We start from the raw sequence: 21062 nt of genomic DNA, 5'->3' as shown, positions 1-21062 counted from the left end.
GTTTGGATTTTAAATGTCATGGGAAAACATAGGGGAAGGGGGAAAGGTTAGAGAGGGGAGCAATACCACCTGATTTGTGTTTGACGATCATGTTAGCTGCAGTGCAGAGACGAGAATGTTAGAGGTCAAGGAGCGGCAAGAAACCAAATAAAAGGCTGTCGCAGAAGTCCAGAAGAGGTTTGACTGTAGCCTGCACTAGGCCTAGGGTGTAGAGGTGGAAAATGATTGGATTCGTGCAATGTTTTGGAGTTAGACAAAGTAGGCCGTGATAAAAGAATTGGATGTAGGGAAAAGGGAAGAGGAACCAAAAATGACTTCTAAGTTTTTGGCTGCAAATAGGAAAAACTAAAGGAATAGTCGGAATGACACTTACTCAATCCCACCTCCCTGGAACAGATGAGGCCAGATCAGGAGAGGAATATGTCCAAACCAGTGGGACGTTACAGGTTCCGAGTTATTTCCTAGGTTCCTAGGAAAGAAGGGCAGGGGAGCAGCTTCTGACCCCACCCAGTTGAACCATCCCAGCGCTTCCCAAGGATCCCTGGTGCGAAACTGGCTACGGAAAACCCGACCGCAGTCACACCTTGCAGGATAGTCCCACCCTCAAAAGTAAAAAAATTCTCTTCGCCCCCATTTCGCGCGGTGCTTAAAAGTACCTCCTCACCTAAGACACTCTACCTGCAGCCGCACAGGCCTCTGACCACCGAATGCCGCCTCCGGAATTCAAAGAAGCTGACTCCACCCCACGCATGCGCTTCCGCGCAGACCCAGAGGGGCGGCTGGGCGGAGCAACGCACTCAGCTGAAGCCTGATTGGCTAGAGGTGGCGGGAGGCTCGGTGGCGGGAGGTGGCGCGCGCGACGACGCTGGCGTAGAACCAATTACGGAGAGCGGCTTGCCCCACCCACCTGGGCCTGTGAGGAGAGCAGCGAGTGGGCCGTTGCTGCTGGAGTCAGCTGATTGGCTGGCGTTCCCACTGTGCTAAGAATATAAGAATGTTCACATTCGTCATTTTGCGTATAACGGGACAATTCGTGTCTCGGTTCTTGAATTTAACATGATCAATTATAGTGATTATTTTGCCTAGGCTGACCCCAGATGTCGGGACTTTGTAGGAAAATGTGAAACCGCAAATTTCACAATAAAGGTGGCTTCTCCCTGGCCGAGACTTAAGTTAAAGGGCCTGTCGCTTTCCCCGTGTGAACCTAGGGCGTGGGAGGAAAGAAAGGCTGGGTCTGCCCTCCTTTTACCGACAATGGGTATGGATATCCTCCAAGGTTTTCTATAAACCGGCTGTCAACATGTAACTATTCCTAACCATGAGGAGTTAATTGACCTTGAAAACAGCCACAAGGGTTTAGTCTGAGCTCTCAGCTTAGTCCCTAATTTAATCTCTTATTAGAGTAGGAATAAGAGAGAAAAGATAAATTTAATGACTCTCACTGAGTTGTTGAGACCAAAACATACCTATAAACTTTAGGTAAACTTGGCGGGGGGCGGGGAGGACTGCAGTCTTAGAGATGAATAATCAAAGTTTAAGTTTATGTAGTTGGGAAAGGATACAGCAAAAATAACTTTACCACATCATATATGGTTTTCAGAATAGTTTCACCAACTCTTATTTAATCATGCATGACAACTGAGGCTCTTCAATTTTTTCTGATAGATGTTGTCCTTTAATAAAGTTGAAAATTTCTTGAATCATTTTTCATGTTTTTAATCATGTTTCATAGGCTCAAAGAAATGTAAATTGGAAGGAAATTTAAGGTTTCAACATTCTTCTTTTTGTAGATGATTAAACTGGAGCCCTGAGTGGTGAAATATCTTGCCTAATGTGACAGGTCTGTGGCAGTGCAACTTGTACCACTTTGTGGAGAGATATATATATGTAGTGAAAGATAGTGATTCACCTTTGATACACCTTCAATTTTCTCCGAAATCATTTTTCTAACTTCCCTTGGCATCACCTAATTAAGCAAAACTCCTAAAACCTGGACATTGTATTGAGATCCTAATTATGTGGCTTTCTGTCTTGCATGCTAACATCACAAAAGTGTGGGGGAGCGTAAATAAAATTGGAAAGTTGGGCCAGGCGAGGTGGCTCATACCTGTAATCTCAGCACTTTGGAAGGCCGGGCCAAGCAGACTGCTTGAGCCCAGGGGTCCGAGGCCAGACTGGGCACCATGGCAAAATCCCGTCTCTACAAAAAATAAAAAATTAGCCGGGCATGGTGGCGTATGCCTGTAGTCCCAGCTATTCGGGAGGCTGAGGTGGGAGGATCACTTGAACCTGGTAGATTGAGGCTGCAGTGAGCTGTGATCCCACCACTGCACTACAGCCTGGGCAACAGAGCAAGACCATGTCTCAAAAAAAAAATAAGAAAAAGAAAAAAAGGAAATTGGAAAGTTGGCAACCTTATTAGCATATTAAGTGATTAAACTCCCTCTTCTCTTTCCTCTCCTCCTTCAGCCAGACTCAGAAAAAGAGAGGCTAAATCCTTTGATATGATCCTTACTTTCCAGATTTTCAGTATTTGTCCAGACAGTTTCCTCCAAATTTCAAAAAGTTTTATTTTGAAAGAATGAGAGAAATAAAACAGAGAGGTATCAATTACCAAGAACAATTACACTGAAGAAAACACAATAATAAGTACTCTTCCCACACAACCCCCCCCATTTCCCCATCCCTGGCACAATAATATTAAAACCACCAAAGCACACCTAACAAGGAAAAACAACAGTACGTAATGAAAAAAGCAAATGTCCATACTGCTCAGTCCAACTAACCCTTATGAAATGTCCTTCCCCCAGCTAAACCCTACCCACTGGAATGATAAAGAAATGTAGAGACAACCCTAGGGGAGACTTGGAACTCTGCTTATACTAGCAAAGCTCAGTGAAGAATCAGTAAGAGTAGTGAATCTGTTTGGCAGTGAAACACTGGATATAGCTTCTTTTTCAAATTTTGGATGATTGCAGAGAACAGGTAGAGTTTGAGGCTCACAGACTTCTAACAGGACTGATCCCTGTTCCCTCAACCGTAACAGTGGAGCAGCTGCCAAATCCTGGTTGGCTGCTGAGAATAGTGGAAGTGAGGCAACTTTGGGCTTAAGACAATCTGAAAAAGATGTCTGGAAACAAGTTTACTGCTTCAGTTTCAAACTGTGAGTAAAGGGTTTTAATAGGTGGGGCTTGGACAAAGGCAAGGTGAAACTTCCTATATTATCACTTGAAGAATTAAACTATCAATTTGACTGCATGCATCCCTTGTTTTAATTAAATTCAATATGGACTATTTAAAATGTAAACAACTGTTGGACTAGAGCCTAATTAATTTCATATATAACTCAGTGTCCGAAATTGAATGTTTTTTTTTTTCTCCTAAAGTAGTAAGTTTAAGTTGTTAGTATCTGTGGAGAGATTCCCGGCCATGAGACTACATGACTTGTTTCATATCAGGATTCTCTTCATAGGAAATTTGTTTTATTCCGCCTTTGCTGGAATCAATCTATAAAGGGAAGGATGCCTGTGCAGGATTAGTTCAAGATCAGCGCCTTCTCTGCTTGTGTGTGCGTGAGTGTGTGCGCGTGCGCGCGCGCGCGCACACACACACACACACACACACAGAGTAGTTAAATACATTTTCCCACACACAATCTCACAGTCACATGCTTGTTGGAGTCCATCTCACAATTACACTTCAATAGTAGCCGTATACATGTACATGCAGCAAGATGTGAGAGTTGCCCCAGAGTGATTAAAGGTGGCGCACAAATGTCAATGTGGGGAAGTCATTTTAGCATATAGATGTACACAAGCCAATAGGGTCATTAACTTGCAGATTACATTTTTCACTTTCCCCAAGATAAATAAATCAAATGAAAAACACACACTGACATCTTCCTGGTGTCATGGACGCAACTGCCTGGAAGGTCCACTCTTTGCACTTCCACTTTTCTATGACACCTTCACTTTGCCCTGAGGGGCCTTCTCATATAAGGAGGGTTGCTCCTCAGCATTCCCTGGCAAAGGCTTCTTCTCAGAAGACCGGTCTTCGGGCTTGCGAGCAATCAGCAGGCGGCAAGTGAGCAGGATTCCAAACACCAGAGCATGGGCGTAGCGTTTGAGAGGATCACCGACCAGCTGGTGGAAGAAGAGCACAGCCAACACCAGCAACAGTAGGAAGAAGTTGGCCACATCTTTGGGACGCCCAGGCACAAGGGTCATGACGATGCCACAGGCCACTTCAAGGGCACCAATGCTTTTTCGGAGGAGAATGGAATTGATCCCCATTTTCTTCAGCAGAGGGAGGGCTCGAACATAGCTCTTGTAAGCACGTTTCTAGAGTGAGAATATTGTAAGGAAATTACTGCATTAACCATGATTTTAACATTAGAATGAAGAAAACACAAGCAGAGTCCTCTCCCCTTTCACACCAGCCACTGGTGTCCCATTATATATAATTTTTCTTATCTTAATTATATGTAATTAAACTAAGAGGCCAGGCACAGTGGCTCACACCTGTAATCTCAGCACTTTGGGAGGCCGAGGTGGGCAGATCACCTGAGGCCGGGAATTGGAGACAGCTTGGCCAACATGGTGAAACCCCATCTCTACTAAAAATACAAAAATTAGCCAGGAGTGGTGGCGGGCACCTGTAATCCCAGCTACTTGGGAGTCTGAGGCACAAGAATGGTTTGAACTCGGGAGATGGAGATTGCAGCGAGCTGAGATTGCACCACTGCACTCCAGCCTGGGCGACAGAGTGAGACTCCATCAAAAAAAAAAAATCCAAACACAAGCAATCTGCTGGAATCCCTGTGATTTAAACCTTAGTAGCATCTTTGCTATGGTCTGAATGTTTGTGTCCCCAACAAAAACCATATGTTGAAATCATAACCCCCAAGATGATGGTATTAGTAGGTGGGGCTTTGGGAAATGATTATGTCCATGAGGGTGGAGTGTTCCTAAATGAGATTAATTCCTTTATAACAGAGGCCTCAGAGAGCTGACTTGCCCCTTCTGCCATGTGAGGACACAGTTAGAAGGCACCATCTGTGAAGAGAAAGTGGGCCCTCAATAGACACCAAACTGCTCCCACCTTGATCTTGGACTTCTCAGCCTACAGAACTATGAGAAATAAATTTCTGTTGTTTATAAGCTACCCAGTTTATGCTATTTTATTATACCAGTCTGAATGGACTAAGACAAGCACCAAAGGTAATAAGGCGAATAATTTGATTTTATAGTTTAAAAGCATTTATGATTATAAATCATAAATAGCATTAATACTTTTTTTTAGCCGGGTGCAGTGGCTCACGCCTGTAATCCCAGCATTTTGGGAGGCCGAGGTGGGCAGATCACCTGAGGTCAGGAGGTCTAGAACAGCCTGGCCAACATGGTGAAACCCCATCTCTGCTAAAAATACAAAAATTAGCCGGGTGTGGTGGGGCATGCCTGTAATCCCAGCTACTCGGGAGGCTGAGACAGGAGAATCACTTGAACCCAGGAGGCAGAAGTTGCAGTGAGCCAAGATCGTGCCACTGCGCTCCAGCCTGGGCGACAGAGCAAGACTCCATCTCAAAAATAAATAAATAAATAAATAAGCAAATAAATAAATAAATAAAAAGAATTTTTTAAAAATTCACTAGGCCCATAAAAACTGGTACATGTTAGCCACATCCATATTTTCTAGTGCCTGCTTTGTCAAAACCCAGATGCATATGAATACTAAGCAAAATGAAACAAGGTAAGGCACAGTATGGTAAAGATTCACTAATTTGAACTTCCCTAAATTGGAATTTGTTATATTTCAGAAAAGAGCGAAGCTGGAGTTTATATTTGTAGAATCTATAAAAATGAAAGTGTTTGCTGAGAAAATAGAAAAATAAAAATGTATGCAAATGTCAGCCCTTTATATATCTTTAAAATATAGTAAGACAAAATCATTCTCATTTCATTGAGATAAATCCCCAAACCTTTATAAGAAGCTACTTTGGCTAGCTTCATTCCTTAAATTTTATTTTATTTTATTTATTTATTTTTATTCTTTTGAGACGGAGTCTCACTCTGTCGCCCAGGCTGGAGTGCAGTGGTGGAATTTTGGCTCACTGCAACCTCCGCCTCCCAGGTTCAAGCGATTCTCCTGCCTCAGCCTCCCACATAGCTACCATGCACTACCACACCTGGCTGATTTTTTTTTTTTTTTGTATTTTTAGTAGAGATGGGGTTTCGCCATGTTGGCCAGGCTGGTCTCGAACTCCTGACCTCAGGTGATCTGCCCACCTTGGCCTCCCAAAGTGCTGGAATTACAGGTGTGAGCCATTGCGCCCAGCCTCATTCCTTAATTTTGATTCAAGAAATATTTATTGTACACCTATTATGGGTTTTGCATCAATGATACAGAGATAAATTAGACAGGGTCATGAAGCTTTCAGACTAGTAGGGGGAAACAGATATGTAAACAACATAAAGCAGCACAGTTAGTGGTACATAAATAGAGATCTGTATAAGATCACAAAGTAACAGAATTATATTGATCTTAGAGTTACAGATCATTCATATTTTTCACTATCCATTTTGGCCTGTTCCTCATTTTGGAGTAAATTGATGAGATTTTATCAAGTGTCTTATTGGGTTGGTCCACTGCTTTGTTTTCTTTTAGTATCCATTCATTCATTCAATGTTTATTTTCTCTTTTTTCTTTTCTTTTTTTTTTGCTTTCCAGGAGGTGCTCTCATCTGAGTTCAATATTTATTAAGTGCCTCCTTGTGCTAGGCACTGTTCTGGATACTCTGGATATAAGTGTCAGTTATTCAAAGGTCCTGTCTTCCTGAAGCTTGAAGTTTATAAGGGGAAGAGCGGATATGTAAATACACAAGTGCAATAAAGTGTTATAAGTGCTGGATACAATTATGTAGCAGGAACAGTATAGGCACACCAGAGGGAGTGGTCAAATCTCCCTAGATGGTGACAGAAAATTTGGAGTGGAATCTTAAAAGTGGGTGGTGAGGCACTCCAGCCTGAAACTCCATCTCAAAAAAAAAGTAGAGCAGGTGTTTGCAAGATAAAAAAGGAAATGGCACTGCAGGCAGAGGAAGCTGGATGAGCAAAGACCCTGACACACCAAATATGGCCAAATACCACTTCAGTTCAGCATAGGGTGATAGAGGGAAGGGAAGGAGGGGAGACATGAAATAGGAGAGATAAATATGAATTAGATCATGGAGAACAATATCTGTTCTGCTGTGGAGCTGGACTTTGTCTTATAAGCCAGGAGGAACTTTTAAAGAAATTCCCTCTGGAAATAGGCCGGGCATGGTGGCTCACGCCTGTAATCCCAACACTTTGGGAGGCCAAGGCAGGAGGATCGATTGAGCCCAGGAGTGCAAACCAGCCTGGACAAGATAGTGAGACCCTGTCTCTACAAAAAGTTTTTAAAAAATTAGCTGGGCGTGGCAGTGTGTGCCTGTAGTCCCAGCTATTTGGGAGGCTGAGATAGTAGGATTGCCTGAGCCCAGGAGTTCAAGGCTTCAGTGAGCTGTGATCGTGCCAACGTACTGCAGCCTGGGAGGCAGACCAAGACCCTGTCTGGAAAAAAAAAAAAAAAAAGAGAGAGAGAGAAAAGATGGTCCCTCTAGAAATAGTGTGGAGGATGAATTGGGGGAAGTATGCCTGGAAACAAAGAGATCAGGTAAGAGATGTGGACTAGCATAATGGCAGTGAGGACACGGGAAGGGGACAGAGTAGAGGAATGCTTTGAAAGCAAAATCTGGCCGGGTGCAGTGTCTCACGCCTGTAATCCCAGCACTTTGGGAGGCCGAGGCGGGTGGATCGCCTGAGGTCAGGAGTTCGAGACCAGTCTGGCCAACATGATGAAACTCCGTCTCTACTAAAAATACAAAAAAAATTACCCAGGCGTGGTGGCACATGCCTATAAGTCCCAGCTACTCTGGAGGCTGAGGCAGGAGAATTGCTTGAACCCAGGAGGCAGAGGTTGCGGTGACCCGAGATCACGCCATTGCACTCCAGCCTGGGCAACAGAACAAGACTCCGTCTCAAAAAAAAAAAAAAAAAATTCTACAGAACTTGGTGTCTCATTGGATGTGGGCACTGAGGGAAAGGGAAGAGTCAAGAATGATTCTCAGGTCTCTGGCTTGGGTGCTGGAGAGATAGATAGGTGTTACCATTCTCTAAGTATGGGTATATATCAGATAATCAGGAGGAACAGAATGCGGGGGTCAGGGATCAGGAAAGAATGAGGAACTCAATTTGGGGGTTTTGAGTTGAAGTACCTCTAAGGCATCCAAGTGTAGATGACTGGTAAGGCAGCTCAGTAAGAGAAGTCTGGACTAAAGATAGAGAATGGATGGTCATTAGTATGCCCAGGGAGGGTATATACAGTGGGAAAAAAATGCATGACAGACATTTAAAAAATGGAAAGAGAGGCCGGACGTGATGGCACAAACCTGTAATCCCAGCAGTTTGGGAGGCCGAGGCGGGCAGATCACTTGAGGCCAGGAGTTTGAGACCAGCCTGGCCAATATGGCGAAACCCTGTCTCTACTACAAAAAAAAAAAAAAAAAATACAAAAATTAGCCGGGCGTGGTGGCATGCACCTGTAATCCCAGCTATCCGGGAGGCTGAGGCACGAGAATCACTTGAGCCCAGGAGGCAGAGGTTTCAGTGAGTCAAGATGGCACCAGCCTGGGCAACAGAGCAAGACTCTGTCTCAAAAAAAAAAAGAAAGAAAGAAATGGAAAGACAGAGTCCACAAAGCAGATAGAAGAAAGTATGGTTAGAAAAGCAGGAGGAAAACCAGGAGAGACCAGGTCATGGACACCAAGATAAGTTTTAAGAAGAGAATAGTCAAAAGTGCCAAATGCTAGACAAGTGTAAGAATGAGGCAGAAAGCCAACTTGACCTCTCAGAAGCATCTGGCACTTAAAATAGTGTTCACACACTCTAGATTTGGAACAAATATTAACAAGTGAATGCACCTTTACTTAATGGATTAATTATCATGAGTGGCCCAAGATAATCGCCTATGAGGACTCTTAAAAGACTAATGGTTTAGAAAAAAGCATGGTTTGGATGCAAACAGACTTAGCGTCAAATCCCAGCTCTGCCACTTTCTAGCCTTTTTTTTTTTTTTTCTTTGATATGGACTGTCATTCTGTCACTGAGGCTGGAGTGCAGTGGTGGGATCAGAGCTCACTACGGCCTCTACCTCTGGGGCTCAAAAGCAATTCTCCCACCTTGCCTCAGCCTCCTAAGTTGCTGGGACTACAGGGTATGCACCATCATGCCCGGCTAATTTTTTTTTTTTTTTTTTTAGAGACAGCCCCTGGCTATGTGGCCTGCCTTAACTTTCCAAAGTGATCCTGCCGCTTTCTAGTTGGGTGTCTCTGAGCAAATTATTTGAAAGGTCCTGAACAAGCCTGGAGTAAGGTAAAGTCAGCAAGGCTACTTACCTTGGGTGGAAAATTTAAGAGGGCACCAAAAACACTCACTGATTAGGTAAATAATATCCATGATGAACAAGATATGAAACTTTTAAATAAAGGTAGGCTCCGACGCTACACTTGCACGACCCTGCTTCACTCACTTCTCCCTAAACCTGCCTTGTCAGAGACTGTCCTTATTTAAAATTCCACCTCACCCTAGTTCCTACCCTATTCCTGAGCCTATATGGAAATACAAAGTGTTAGTCATTCTTCCTCTCTCTTCCCATCTTAGATTAAATCAAGGATTTTTCATAGAGAAATTAGGAGAGAGGTTGACCAGTAGGCAGAGTAAAACCTTGGGCTGAAAGGGGCCAGACCCATGTGGGGCAGAGCTGAGCTGAGGTTTAGGGTACCTGGTGGTGGTGAGAAGCCCACCCCTTTCCTCTCATTAACCTAAATACATGCCACTTGCCTTATCCTTCTCCCTTTGCATCCTGGTGATGGTAGCAGGGGGACATTACGGGGAAAAAATGTAGACCCCAGAGGCTTCCATAACACTTTTTTTTTTTGAGGCAGAATCCCACTCTGTCACCCACACTGGAGTGCAGTGGCTCGGCTCACTGCAAATTATGCTTCCCTAGCTCAAGCGATTCTCCTGCCTCAGCCTCCCGAGTAGCTGTGTTTACAGGCATGTACCCCACATCCAGCTAATTTTTGTATTTTTAGTAGAGACTGGTTTTCACCATGTTGGCCAGGCTCTTCTCGAACTCCTGACTTCAGGTGATCCACCTGCCTCGGTCTCCCAAAGTGTTAGGATTACAGGCGTCAGCCACCACGCCTGGCCTCTTAACACTTCTGAGGGTCTCGCTGTCACCCAGGCGGGAGTACAGCAGCACCATCAGGGCTCACTGCAGCCTCGACCTCCCAGGCTCAAGTGATCCTCCCGCCTCAGCCTCCCGAGTTAGCTGGGCCTACAGGCTTGTGCCACCATGCCTGGCTAATCTCTTTTAAGTTTTTTTGTAGAGACTGGGTCTCACTATGTTGCCTAGGCCTGTCTCAAACTCCTGGGCTCAAGTGATCCTCCTGCCTCAGCCTCCCAAAGTGTTGGGATTACAGGCGTGAGCCACCACGGTTGCCCAGTAAGGGCCATTTCTAATTAGCAACACAAAAGTTCTCAAGAGGCAATTCCTAAATCCTAAGTGTAAACTTCTGATGTGATAAACACAAAAGACAGGATGAGTTGTTTTGTTTTTTGTTTTTTGTTTTTTTTGAGATGGAATCTGGCTCTGTCACCCAGGCTGGAGTGCAGTGGCATGATCTCAGTTCACTGCAACCTCTGTCTCCTGGATTCAAGTGATTCTTCTACCTCAGCCTCCCAAGTAGCTGTGACTACAGGCGCGCACCACCATGCCCGGCTAATTTTTGTATTTTTATTTTTATTTTATTTATTTATTTTGAGATGGAGTCTCACTCTGTCGCCCAGGCTGGAGTGCAGTGGCACGATCTCGGCTCACCACAACCTCCGCCTCCCAGGTTCAAGTGATTCTCCCGCCTCAGCCTCCTGAGTAGCTGGGACTACAGGCGCTTGCCACCATGCCCAGCTAATTTTTTGTATTTTTAGTAGAGACACTTCACCACATTTCACTATGTTGGCCAGGCTCGTCTCAAACTCCTGACCTTGTTATGTGCCCAGCCCAGGATGAGTTTCTTATAGTCAGTTAGGAGCCAAGACTTCCAGATGCTGGCTGAATGGCTTCTGGAAACACTTCTTTTTTGACTAGGGCTTAACCACCCATTATTCAGGTACAAACTCTTATCTATACTATAGTGCAATCTGTAGCCCGGGGCCAAACTCCATGTTTTAAATCAAGTTCCTATAACTTCAGTAATCTTTTTTCTCTCCATTTAGTAGAACGGCGTATTACTTTTTTAGTTTAGCTAACCTCTTAAACTGCAGCTGTGTATATTTTTATGCCGCTGTTGCTTCTTTCTTTCCTCTGTTTCTCAAGAGAAAACTGCATGTGGATACACCATTTAATCAAATCTTTCATTGAAAACTGAGTAGGTACAGACAGGATTTATTTTCTAGGACTCCAAAGAGGGAATGTTTAGTTTATTGGAGATGGGACTAAGCTTGGATGGGTCTTGACATTATAGGAAGCCATCAATCTTCTCCTGTGGAGTAGAATAGCGACATCAAAAGAATCCTATTGGCCGGGCGCAGTGGCTCACGCCTGTCATCCCAGCACTTTGGGAGGCTGAGGCGGGCGGATCACCTGAGGTTGGGAGTTCGAGACCAGCCTGACAAACATGAAGAAACCCCATCTCTACTAAAAATACAACATTAGCTGGGTGTAGTGGCGCATGCCTGTAATCCCAGCTACTCGGGAGGCTGAGGCAGGAGAATTGCTTGAACCCGGGAGGCAGAGGCCGCAGTGAGCCGAGGCCACACCATGGCACTCTAGCTTGTGCAACAAGAGCGAAACCCCTTCTCAAAAAAAAAAAAAAAAAAAAAGAATCCTATTATTGCTAACCCCCTCATTATGCTTGGTCCAGGCCACCTCAAGTTAAACAATAGAAGGGTCACATGTCTTCAGTCTATAGTAACTAGGTCTCTAAAGACTTTAATTGTATGGATAGTAAGAATAAAGACAGTTGACAGATTCACTTTCTTAAAAGGCTCTTGCAATTCACTTTGTTAGGTCTGTGTTCTTTCCACTGCAATAACCCAGGCTCTGAAACCATAGTTTCCGTATAGGGGGAAGAAAAACAGGAAAAAGATGGGCTTAGTTAAATGTCTCAAACCCCTGCAATCAAAGGCAATCATCTAGCAATATCCTTGGACTGGGATTCTTAAGCTGAATTCCAATTTTAGTTTTGCCACTAAATTGCTTGGAGAAAATTACTAAGTATTTTATTACCTCAGTTTCCCCTCAGATTCAATAAATCAAATGAGCATTTTGGAGATTTAGGTAAATAATCAAAGTGTCATAGCATCAGCTGAGGGCAACACACACACATTTGATCATTAATGAACCACACAATTAGGCCGGGTGCAGTGGCTCACGCCTATAACCCCAGCACTGTGGGAGGCCAAGATGGGTGGATCACTTGAGGTCAGGAGTTCGAGACCAGCCCGGCCAACATGGCAAAACCCCATCTCTACTAAAAATACAAAAATTAGCCAAGCGTGGTGGCACACGTCTGTAGTTCCAACTACTTGGGAGGCTGAGGCAGGAGAATCACTTGAACCTGGGAAGCAGAGGTTGCGGTGAGCCGAGACCATGCCATTTCACTCCAGCCTGAGTGATAGAGCCAGATGCTGTCTCAAAAACAAAAACAAAAACCCACACAATTAGAAATCCATATTTTTGCAAGCCACGGTAATTATTTTAATAACAAAATCATTGATGAATCAAGCAGATCCATTCTTGTGGTATGAGGACATTATGATTCAGACATGAGTCAAAAGCATATGGAGCCTTTTATTTTTTGTTATTTTTAAATTTTATTTATTTTTATTTTTATTTTTGAGACAGAGTCTCGCTCTGTCGCCAGGCTGGAGTGCAGTGGCGCGATCTTGGCTCACTGCAACCTCTACCTCCTGGGTTCAAGCAATTCTCCAGCCTCAGCCTCCTGAGTAGCTGGGATTACAGGTGTGTGCCACCATGCCCAGCTAATTTTTTTGTGTGTGTGTATTTTTAGTAGAGACAGGGTTTCACCATGTTGTCCAGGATGGTCTCAATCTCTTGACCTCGTGATCCGCCCGCCTCAGCCTCCCAAAGTGCTGGGATTACAGGTGTGAGCCAATGCGCCTGGCCTATGGAGCCTTTTAATTTTTTTAATTTATTATTATTTTCTTTTTTTGAGATGGATTCTTACTCTGTCGCCCAGGCTAGAGTGCAGCTGCACGATCTCGGCTCACTGCAGCCTCCACCTCCCGGGTTCAAGCAATTCTCCTGCCTCAGCCTCCCAAACAGCTGGGACTACAGACGCCCGCTGACGCACCCAACTAATTTTTGTATTTTTGGTAGAGATGGGGTTTCACCATGTTGGCCAGGCTGGTCTAGAACTCCTGGCCTCAGGTGATCGGCCCAGCTTGGCTTCCCAAAGTGCTGGGATTACAGGCGTGAGCGACCGCGCCCAGCCAGAGCCTTTCTTTAGTCATACCTTTTTTTCCTTTTTGTCATTTATTCTTCACCACACAGCAGGATCCATGATCTCATATTAATGATATTATATTTGAACAGCTCAAAACTGTCAAATAATATTAATCTTTGATTACAATTAATAACCAGCCCAAGCCAGCTAACAGGACAAAATACAAAATGAGAACACAGGGCAAATAGTGTCCACTTCAGTTCACTCATGCCAATTAGGTAAAAGGAAAAGATAAATTGGCTAATATACTGTAGAATTCCATTTATATAAAATTCAAAATCAGGTACAATTGACTTATGTTGTTAGAAGTCAGGATAGTAATTACCCTTGATGGGGGTAGTAACTGGAAGGGGCCATGAGGAAGGTTTCTGGGGTGCTGGTCATGTGGGGTTTTTTTTGTTTTTTTTCTTTTTGTTTTGTGTTGTTTGTTTGTTTGTTTTTTGAGATGGAGTCTAACTCTGTCGTCCAGGCTGTAGTGCAGTAGTGCAATCTTGGCTCACTGCAACCTCTGCCTCCTGGGTTCAAGCAATTCTCCTGCTTCAGCCTCCCAGGTAGCTGGGATTACAGGTACCCACCACTAAGCCCAGCTAATTTTTGTATTTTTAGTAGAAACGGGGTTTTGCCATGTCGCCCAGGCTGGTCTCGAACTCCTGACCTCAGGTGATCCACCCACCTTGGCCTCCCAAAGTGCTGGGATTACAGGCGTGAGCCACAGCACCTGGCAATGTGCTTTTTCTTAATATGAGTGCTGGGTTACATGGGAATGTTCTGAAAATTCCTTGAGCTGCATACTTATGCTATGTGCATGTTTCAGTATATATGTTATACTTCAATAAGATTTACAAGGAAAAAAAACTATATGAAAGCAGAAGAAAGCACTGATAAAAATATATTTTGGCAAAAAATCTCAGCCTGGTTGCTATCTTAAACCATAAAGCCTACATAAGTGCTGCAAAATGTACTGACTCATGTGTGATTTTTCTGAATCTCTGTAAGAAATAAAGCCTGTGTGAATCATAGATCATTGTTTAAATGTAATAAAAAGCCATTACATATTTAATTGCCAAATTGCCACATGAATGCTAAACACCTTCTTTTTTTTTTTTTTTTTTTTTTTTGAGATGGAGTTTCCCTCTTGTTGCCCAGGCTGGAGTGCAATGGTGTGATCTCGGTTCAGCACAACCTCCGCCTCCCAGGTTCAAGTGATTCTCTTGCCTCAGCCACCAGAGTAGCTGGGATTACAGGCATGCGCCACCATGCCTGGCTAATTTTGTATTTTTAGTAGAGATGGGGCTTCTCCATGTTGGTCAGCCTGGTCTTGAACTCCCGACCTATTCTACTTTCCACTGTCATGTAATGCCCACCTAAAGAGGAAGCTGGCATGCTTGATCGTACCAGTCAAAGTGGACCCTTCCCAGATTGCATCTTAGGGCAGAAGACTGACTCCTACTGTCAGTCAAAGATCTGTCTGAAACAAACTCAGCTTTTGTCCATACTGAGAGGCTACAAGCTCCCCAACATAAACTCTAATATGTAGTTTAGCTTGTGATGGCAGGCTGTGTGAATTAAGCAAAGCTGCTTCACCTCTCAGGGTCTCGGTTTCCTCTCTGAAAATAAATGTACTGTACCACCTCAGAGAGCAGTCTAAACATCAGTAAATTACTATCTTATTACCTAGTTGGAAAGCAATTAATAGCAGTGATTGGAAGCTTAAAAGATTACCTATGGACATTAAATAAACTGCCCAAACATATTGGGAGTGTTTCCTCAGGATTACATAAACAGAAGGGCACTTAACTACACATAAACAAATAAATCAAATCAACAAACCTTTACTATGAGGGGATGCAAAGAATCAGGGACTTGCCCAGTCATCCTCAGGACCAAAATCTCTTGGCTTTATTGTCACCAGGATTTTGGTGTTTTCTTATCTTTTCATATGTGGTCCCCTGTGCTTACAGGATGAAGCCACTACTACAAAAAGCTGAACACCAGATTTAAAGCAAGCCAACTATTTATATGTTCCCAGTCACTGCACAGGAAACTGCGTCCCAGCACTTTTAAGGGCTGTCTCCCATTTTCAAGTGAACTAATAAAGGCATTTAGTCAAGGGAGTGGCCAGTCATGTTGAATTCACGTGGGATTTAGAGTACTCTATAATGATACTTGCTAAATCTGGAGGAGGTATGGGACAACACATGCCAAATGGGCTATTCAGAGATGCATCTGGAAGTTCTGCATGAGATCCACTGTACACTACACAGCAGCAAGTGTGGATTTTTCAATATTAATTGATTGCATAAAGGTCTGTCCACAAGGGCACATGAAAATAGCATCTTGTTCTTCTAAATGCTTGATTTCAGGCTGGGGGTGGTGGCTCACACCTGTAATCCCAGCACTTTGGGAGGCTGAGATGGGTGGATCACCTGAGGTCAGGAGTTCGCAACCAGACTGACCAACACAGTGAAACCCCATCTCTACTAAAAATACAAAAATTAGGCAGGCATGGTGGCACGCACCTGTAATCCCAGCTACTCCGGAGGCTGAGGCAGGAGAATCGCTTGAACCCGGGAGGCAGAGGTTGCAGTGACCCAAGATCATACCATTGCACTCCAGCCTGGGCAACAAGAGCAAAACTCCGTCTCATAAATAAATAAATATATATATATGCTTGATTTCAATCCCTTAAACTAGCTATTTAAATCAGTTAGGAAACCACTCCATAAAACAGAATTACTTATCATAATCACCTCACCCAAAGCATTTCTTGAACACATACTATAGCAAACACTGTACCAGACACTTTTATACATAATCTCAGTTAATGTTTACAGCCTTCTAAGGTAGGCACTCCTTCCCCCCACCCCCCGCCCTTAGGATGGTCTGTTTCTTAAGTGGTAGGCATTCTTATCCCCATTTTAAGAATAAAGAAACTGAGACACCAAGAGTAGCAGGACCTGAACCCAAGCCTGTGTGACCATAAAGCCTGCACTCTTTCCACTAACCCTTGCTGGCTTCTCCAGTAGAAACAGGAGAAAAGTTCATAGTCATTTGTTTGGTTTTTTAGCAATGATTCTCCCTGGAGAAGATAACACCTAAGAATTACACAAATGATTTTAAAACAAGAAAAAAAATAGTTGGCAGAAAAGCAAAAAAAAAAAAAAAAAAAAAAAGAAAGAAAGAAAAAGAAAAAAGAAATCAAATCAAAAATCTAAATTTTAAAAATTGATTTTGTAGTAAAACAAAATTGAAAATATGCATTGGGCAGTTAAACTGGTACAATAAAAGGAGGAAGACTGTGCCAGGTGTTCTCAAGAATCGGTTGTCAGTTCTGGCATCCATAAAAACCAACAGTTTTAACCATTAATGATCTTTCTATTGGGAGTATTGAGTCATGGACTTGGTTTCTCATCTCTGCTCCAACAACAGCTTACCTTTCTGGCCTTGGATATGTCATTAAACTTGTTCTGCTTTAGTTTATCCATCAGTAAAATAAAAATAACGAATACACTAAATCTACCTCACAGACATGTTCTAAAGAACAAATAATCTTAAAACAACAACAGCAGCAACAACGCTTTGAGATCTTATAAGAAATGCCACTGCAGTCAATACATGACTAACCTCCTCGATGCAGAGGAATCCACTCCTTAATGGAAAACAAAAAATCCCAGATAATCATCCCAGCTGATCTAGGGTTGGGGTTCTGAGAGACTCTGCCTCTGAGAGACAGGGGCTTCTTAGAGAGTCCCTCTAAGAGGCAAGAAATGGCTCCTGAACTGCATAATCAAGAGCCAAACAGAGAAATCTGAAGGGTGGTAACAAGCCAAGGCAATGCTACAATGACTCATTCATTCACCCAACCACTCCACAAATACATATTGAGCACCTTCTCTGTACTAGAACTGAATTTCCCTCCCTTTCCTATGGGAACGAGAATAAAGCTGGGCCAAGCCCAGGCACTATGCAGTAGGCTTTATGCCAGAGAGCAATCTCCAGTCTATGGCCCGATGCTCAATGCAGGAGAGGACCCTGGAAAAGGGCAGTCTGAAAATCCTCTTCAAACTATTGTGACGTCTACTTCTCAGTTAGATACAATCTTTCCATTCCCTCTAGATGCCCCTAGCACAGAAGTGCAGAAGTGTGCATACACACCCACACACAATGGTTCTATATTGCTGTGTTACACTATATCTATTTAAATATGTTCCTATGTATGATATGAAATCTTCATATTTGTTTCTTCTGCCTTTCATTAGGCTGCACTAGACAGCTCCATTTCTAGGAAGAAACATACTGTAAACCCATTTGTGGCTGGTCCTCCTTGTGAGCTCCTGCTAAGCTGGTAGGAAGCTTCCCGGTGACTCCATCTTAGTTGGATTGCCTGCAGAGCCTAACACTGTACTTAGGGTGCAGCTTGGGGGGGCCTCTGAAGCAGCTGACTAGGGTCTGGAGGGCAGGGAGTATACTGAAGAAAGGTAGTGTGTCCCTAAGGCTAGGGAAAGCTTACACATACCTATGATGCACACACACAAATATATAAATATATGTACATATGAAAAGTAAAGCAAGAGCATGTTCATTTATTCATAATCTAACACCAAACTGCTACCACCAAGACAGAAATATAATGGCATTTCCCCTCCACCCTGTCCCTCTGTCCCAACCTCTTCAAGCCATTTGGTGGCTTCTGCTACCCCACCCTGTCCCTCTTCTCCCAGTGCAGGCTGCCTCGGGTACTCATTTTGACCTGATTTCAATTCCATCTGGTCAAACATGCTGGGAGGAGGGGAAGGGAGAAGGAGAAGCATGTAAGGATTTGCCACTGGGGCTAGACCTAAGCCCTTGTCACCCTCCCCAACCCTAGGGTGATCCTGCGGTGAGGAAGAAATGGAAAGCTCCAGCTTAAACCCTGAGACAGAAGCCAGAGCTGCCTGCAAACATTTTCTGAGCATCTATTAATATAATTTGCCAGTCTCCATCCATTTGCAGCTCACGTTAAGGGGCCCTGGAAAGCTCTGCAGTGGGTTCAGGAGAGCTATGAATTCCTCGCAATGTGTGAGGCTGTTCCTCCCTGCCTCAGCCCTAAAAGGGCTTGCCTCTTTTCTCTTTCCCCTTCTGTTCCTCCCCTAAGCTCCTTTCTCTCTTGACCTTGAGAGCCCAATGATGTGCTCCTTCCCATTATTGGAAGTCTGGCAAAGGCGACGAGAAGCAGCTGGGGTGGGGAAAAGAAGAGGCAAAGTGACAGGGGAAGAAGGGACAGACCCGAAAGTGCTGGAAACATTCCCTGCCATCTCCTAGTACTCCACAGCATAAGAGCAAGTCCTCATCACGCCCAACTGGGGAAAGCAGCCCAGCCCCCAGGTTGCAGAGGAGATGTTTTGGCCAGTCACCTTCCGTGATTGATTCCAACTCTGCAGAGGGGAAAACCTGCAGAGGGCCTGGCTCTGGTCATCCACAGAAGGCAAGGTGGGGATTACGGACTGTTTGCGGGAGAGAAAAAGCAGACTTTGCAGATTTTGTAGATTACCCCACACACAAAACAAAATAAAACAAAACATCTAGCTCTCCCTTGAGAGAAGGGGAAGAAACAAGAGCTTAGTGACCTTTATTTGGGCCAAGAATGCTTTGTCTCAAGGATCCAGATACATACCCAGGTGGCTGGAGGAATACTATCAGCTGTCTGCCTGGGATGAGGAATACCAGTCAGCCCCTAAAAATTGCTTGTTTTAGTAGCCCATTTTTCCCAGCTCTTTTCCTCTTTCCCTTTTGTTCTGCTCTAAAATAAATAAACTCTCCGCTTGCTAAACTCTTAGCTCACAGGGAGGGAATCAGACTTGTATACTGGTTGCCCGGACTTTGGGTGTGTGCTGGAAGGAGGGAAGGGCTCCTGCCAATGACAGGTGCTACGCAGGTCTCAGCCTTCTGGTTTACTTGGGATGGGGGGTATTCGCTGCGCAACCCCTCCCCCAACTGGCATTCAGTGGCTCCAGAACAGCATAGCCCACAAAAGAAATCGCTCTTGCCCAGCTGCTCCTTCCGAGCTGCAAAGTTGTTGAGAACGGAGGGTCCAGGTGGGGATAGGGGCTAAGGGGGTGGGACCAGAAACTGAGAAGGAAAAAAGGGGAGAGGTCCTCGCAATCCCATGGGAGTGCGCTCCTCATCACCCGTTTGCTTCACTTACCATCTCACTGTAGGCATCCTTGCTGAGCCTGGGGGTCAGCTTGATAGTCCCCATGAAAACAAAGAAGAGTCCCAGGGCCACTGAGAGGGCCACAATAGTTACGGTTCTGGGGGATGCCATGGGGTCGCCAAGGCAGGTCCCAACTAATCCTTCTGATTTGCGCACCCGCTCTGTCCAAGGTGCAGGCAGTTAGCACAGGGAGAGCTGGGGGGACGCTGCGGAGGCAGCAGGCAGCTAGAATGACAAAGGGAGAGGAGGGAGCTCGAGAGAAAAATTGAGAGATCGAGATTCAACCACTCTCACTACAACAAACGCTGGGTCCTAATGCCCTACGTGTGCTCACAGGCCAAAAGGACAGTCTCGAAGTTAAATGAAGCCCTAAAGGAAAGACGGAAACTTCAAATCTTAAATGGGGAGAAGGGAGGTTATGTATGAGTTCAGTCACCAAGTGACCCCAGGAATGAGGAATTAGGGAAGACAGGCTTTGCTGCCACCTTCCCACCGGGCTCACTTTTCATCTCCCCCTCCCACTTATCATCCTTCAGTTATTCACTCCCTTTTTCCATCTCTTCCTTTGTGTCCCCCTTTCCTTTTCCTAAATCAAAATATTAGCCCTCAGAGAGTTGTTTCTGAAGTTCGTAACACTCAAGGATAAAACTGCAAATTTGTCAGCCTTCAATGCTGCCAAAGAAGGCTTCCTCTTTCTCTTGCTCAGAAATCTTTAATGACTCTCATAGCCAGTGGTTAACTCCAGTTTTAAATTTGGAATTCAAGGCCCTCCACATTTTGACCCCTGTCTCTCTTTGGAGATTTAGTTTTCAATGGCTCCCACTGCCACACGCCACCACTCATCTATCTACTCACGGCCTCACACAACCTACGCCTTACCACCTCCTCTACCTTTAACTCCCTATCTTTTGACCCCGCCCCCCACCATCACTCTTCATTAGCATTAAACCTTTTCTTTAATGTCACCTCCTCTATAAAGCCTTTCCTGATCCATTGTCAGTTAGATATGATTTCTCCCTCCTCCAATTTTCTATAACAATAACCAATAATTGTCAACTGTTTACTAGATGCTAGACGCTGCCCTCTACTTGTATTAACTAATTTAATCTTTACAGCAACACTATGGACTAGGTATGAGTCCCCATGCTATGAATGGGCACATTGAGGGGCTGGGAAGGTAGGTAACTTGCCCAGGAGTATACAGCTAGTAAGTGGAGAGCCAGGCCTCAAACCTAGGCAGTCATTTCTAGGGCCCAGGCTCTT

At 44.4% G+C, this 21062-nt stretch overlaps 2 protein-coding genes across 16 annotated transcripts in view, besides 1 other annotated feature; both read right to left on the bottom strand.

The window, feature by feature from the left end:
• Positions 1-709, bottom strand: part of CENPI (centromere protein I) — an 83656-nt gene extending 82947 nt beyond the window's left edge. For 6 of the 15 annotated variants that reach the window (XM_017029383.2, XM_047441948.1, XM_047441954.1 and 3 more), the window contains exons 1-2: positions 665-709; positions 374-469 (exon numbers count right to left, since the gene is read on the bottom strand). The gene's annotated coding sequence lies outside the window, so the exon portion shown is untranslated. Of the gene's footprint in view, positions 1-69 lie in introns of all 15 variants that reach the window. The other 9 variants (XM_047441947.1, XM_047441952.1, XM_005262111.3 and 6 more) reach the window with 4 other exon arrangements.
• Positions 946-1005: an enhancer, noted in NCBI's record as "active region_29807". NCBI's record gives its function as "activates an Ori minimal core promoter by ATAC-STARR-seq in GM12878 lymphoblastoid cells {active_cell/tissue: GM12878}" and the evidence as "EXISTENCE:reporter gene assay evidence [ECO:0000049][PMID:35858748]".
• Positions 2546-20034, bottom strand: TMEM35A (transmembrane protein 35A). The gene is made up of 2 exons (NM_021637.3): positions 19791-20034; positions 2546-4340 (listed from the first exon to the last, which is right to left on the bottom strand). Exons 1-2 carry the CDS (start codon positions 19908-19910, stop codon positions 3957-3959), a joined length of 504 nt encoding a protein of 167 aa, NP_067650.1. The 5' UTR covers positions 19911-20034; the 3' UTR covers positions 2546-3956.
• Positions 20035-21062: the final 1028 nt, after the last annotated feature.

The sequence above is a fragment of the Homo sapiens genome, chromosome X (genome assembly GCF_000001405.40).
Source record: "Homo sapiens chromosome X, GRCh38.p14 Primary Assembly".
NCBI classification, from domain to species: domain Eukaryota; kingdom Metazoa; phylum Chordata; class Mammalia; order Primates; family Hominidae; genus Homo; species Homo sapiens.
The sequence above is the reverse complement of the archived record's forward strand: the minus strand, read 5'-3'. Positions and strand labels throughout refer to the sequence as shown.

Bases quoted from the DNA above. Each gene is read 5' to 3' on its own strand.
- TMEM35A (NM_021637.3), bottom strand. From the start codon at position 19,910: ATGGCATCCCCCAGAACCGTAACTATTGTGGCCCTCTCAGTGGCCCTG. The intron at 4,341-19,790 runs GTAAGTGAAGCA...TTCTCACTCTAG, and splicing joins AGGATGCCTACAGTGAGATG to AAACGTGCTTACAAGAGCTA.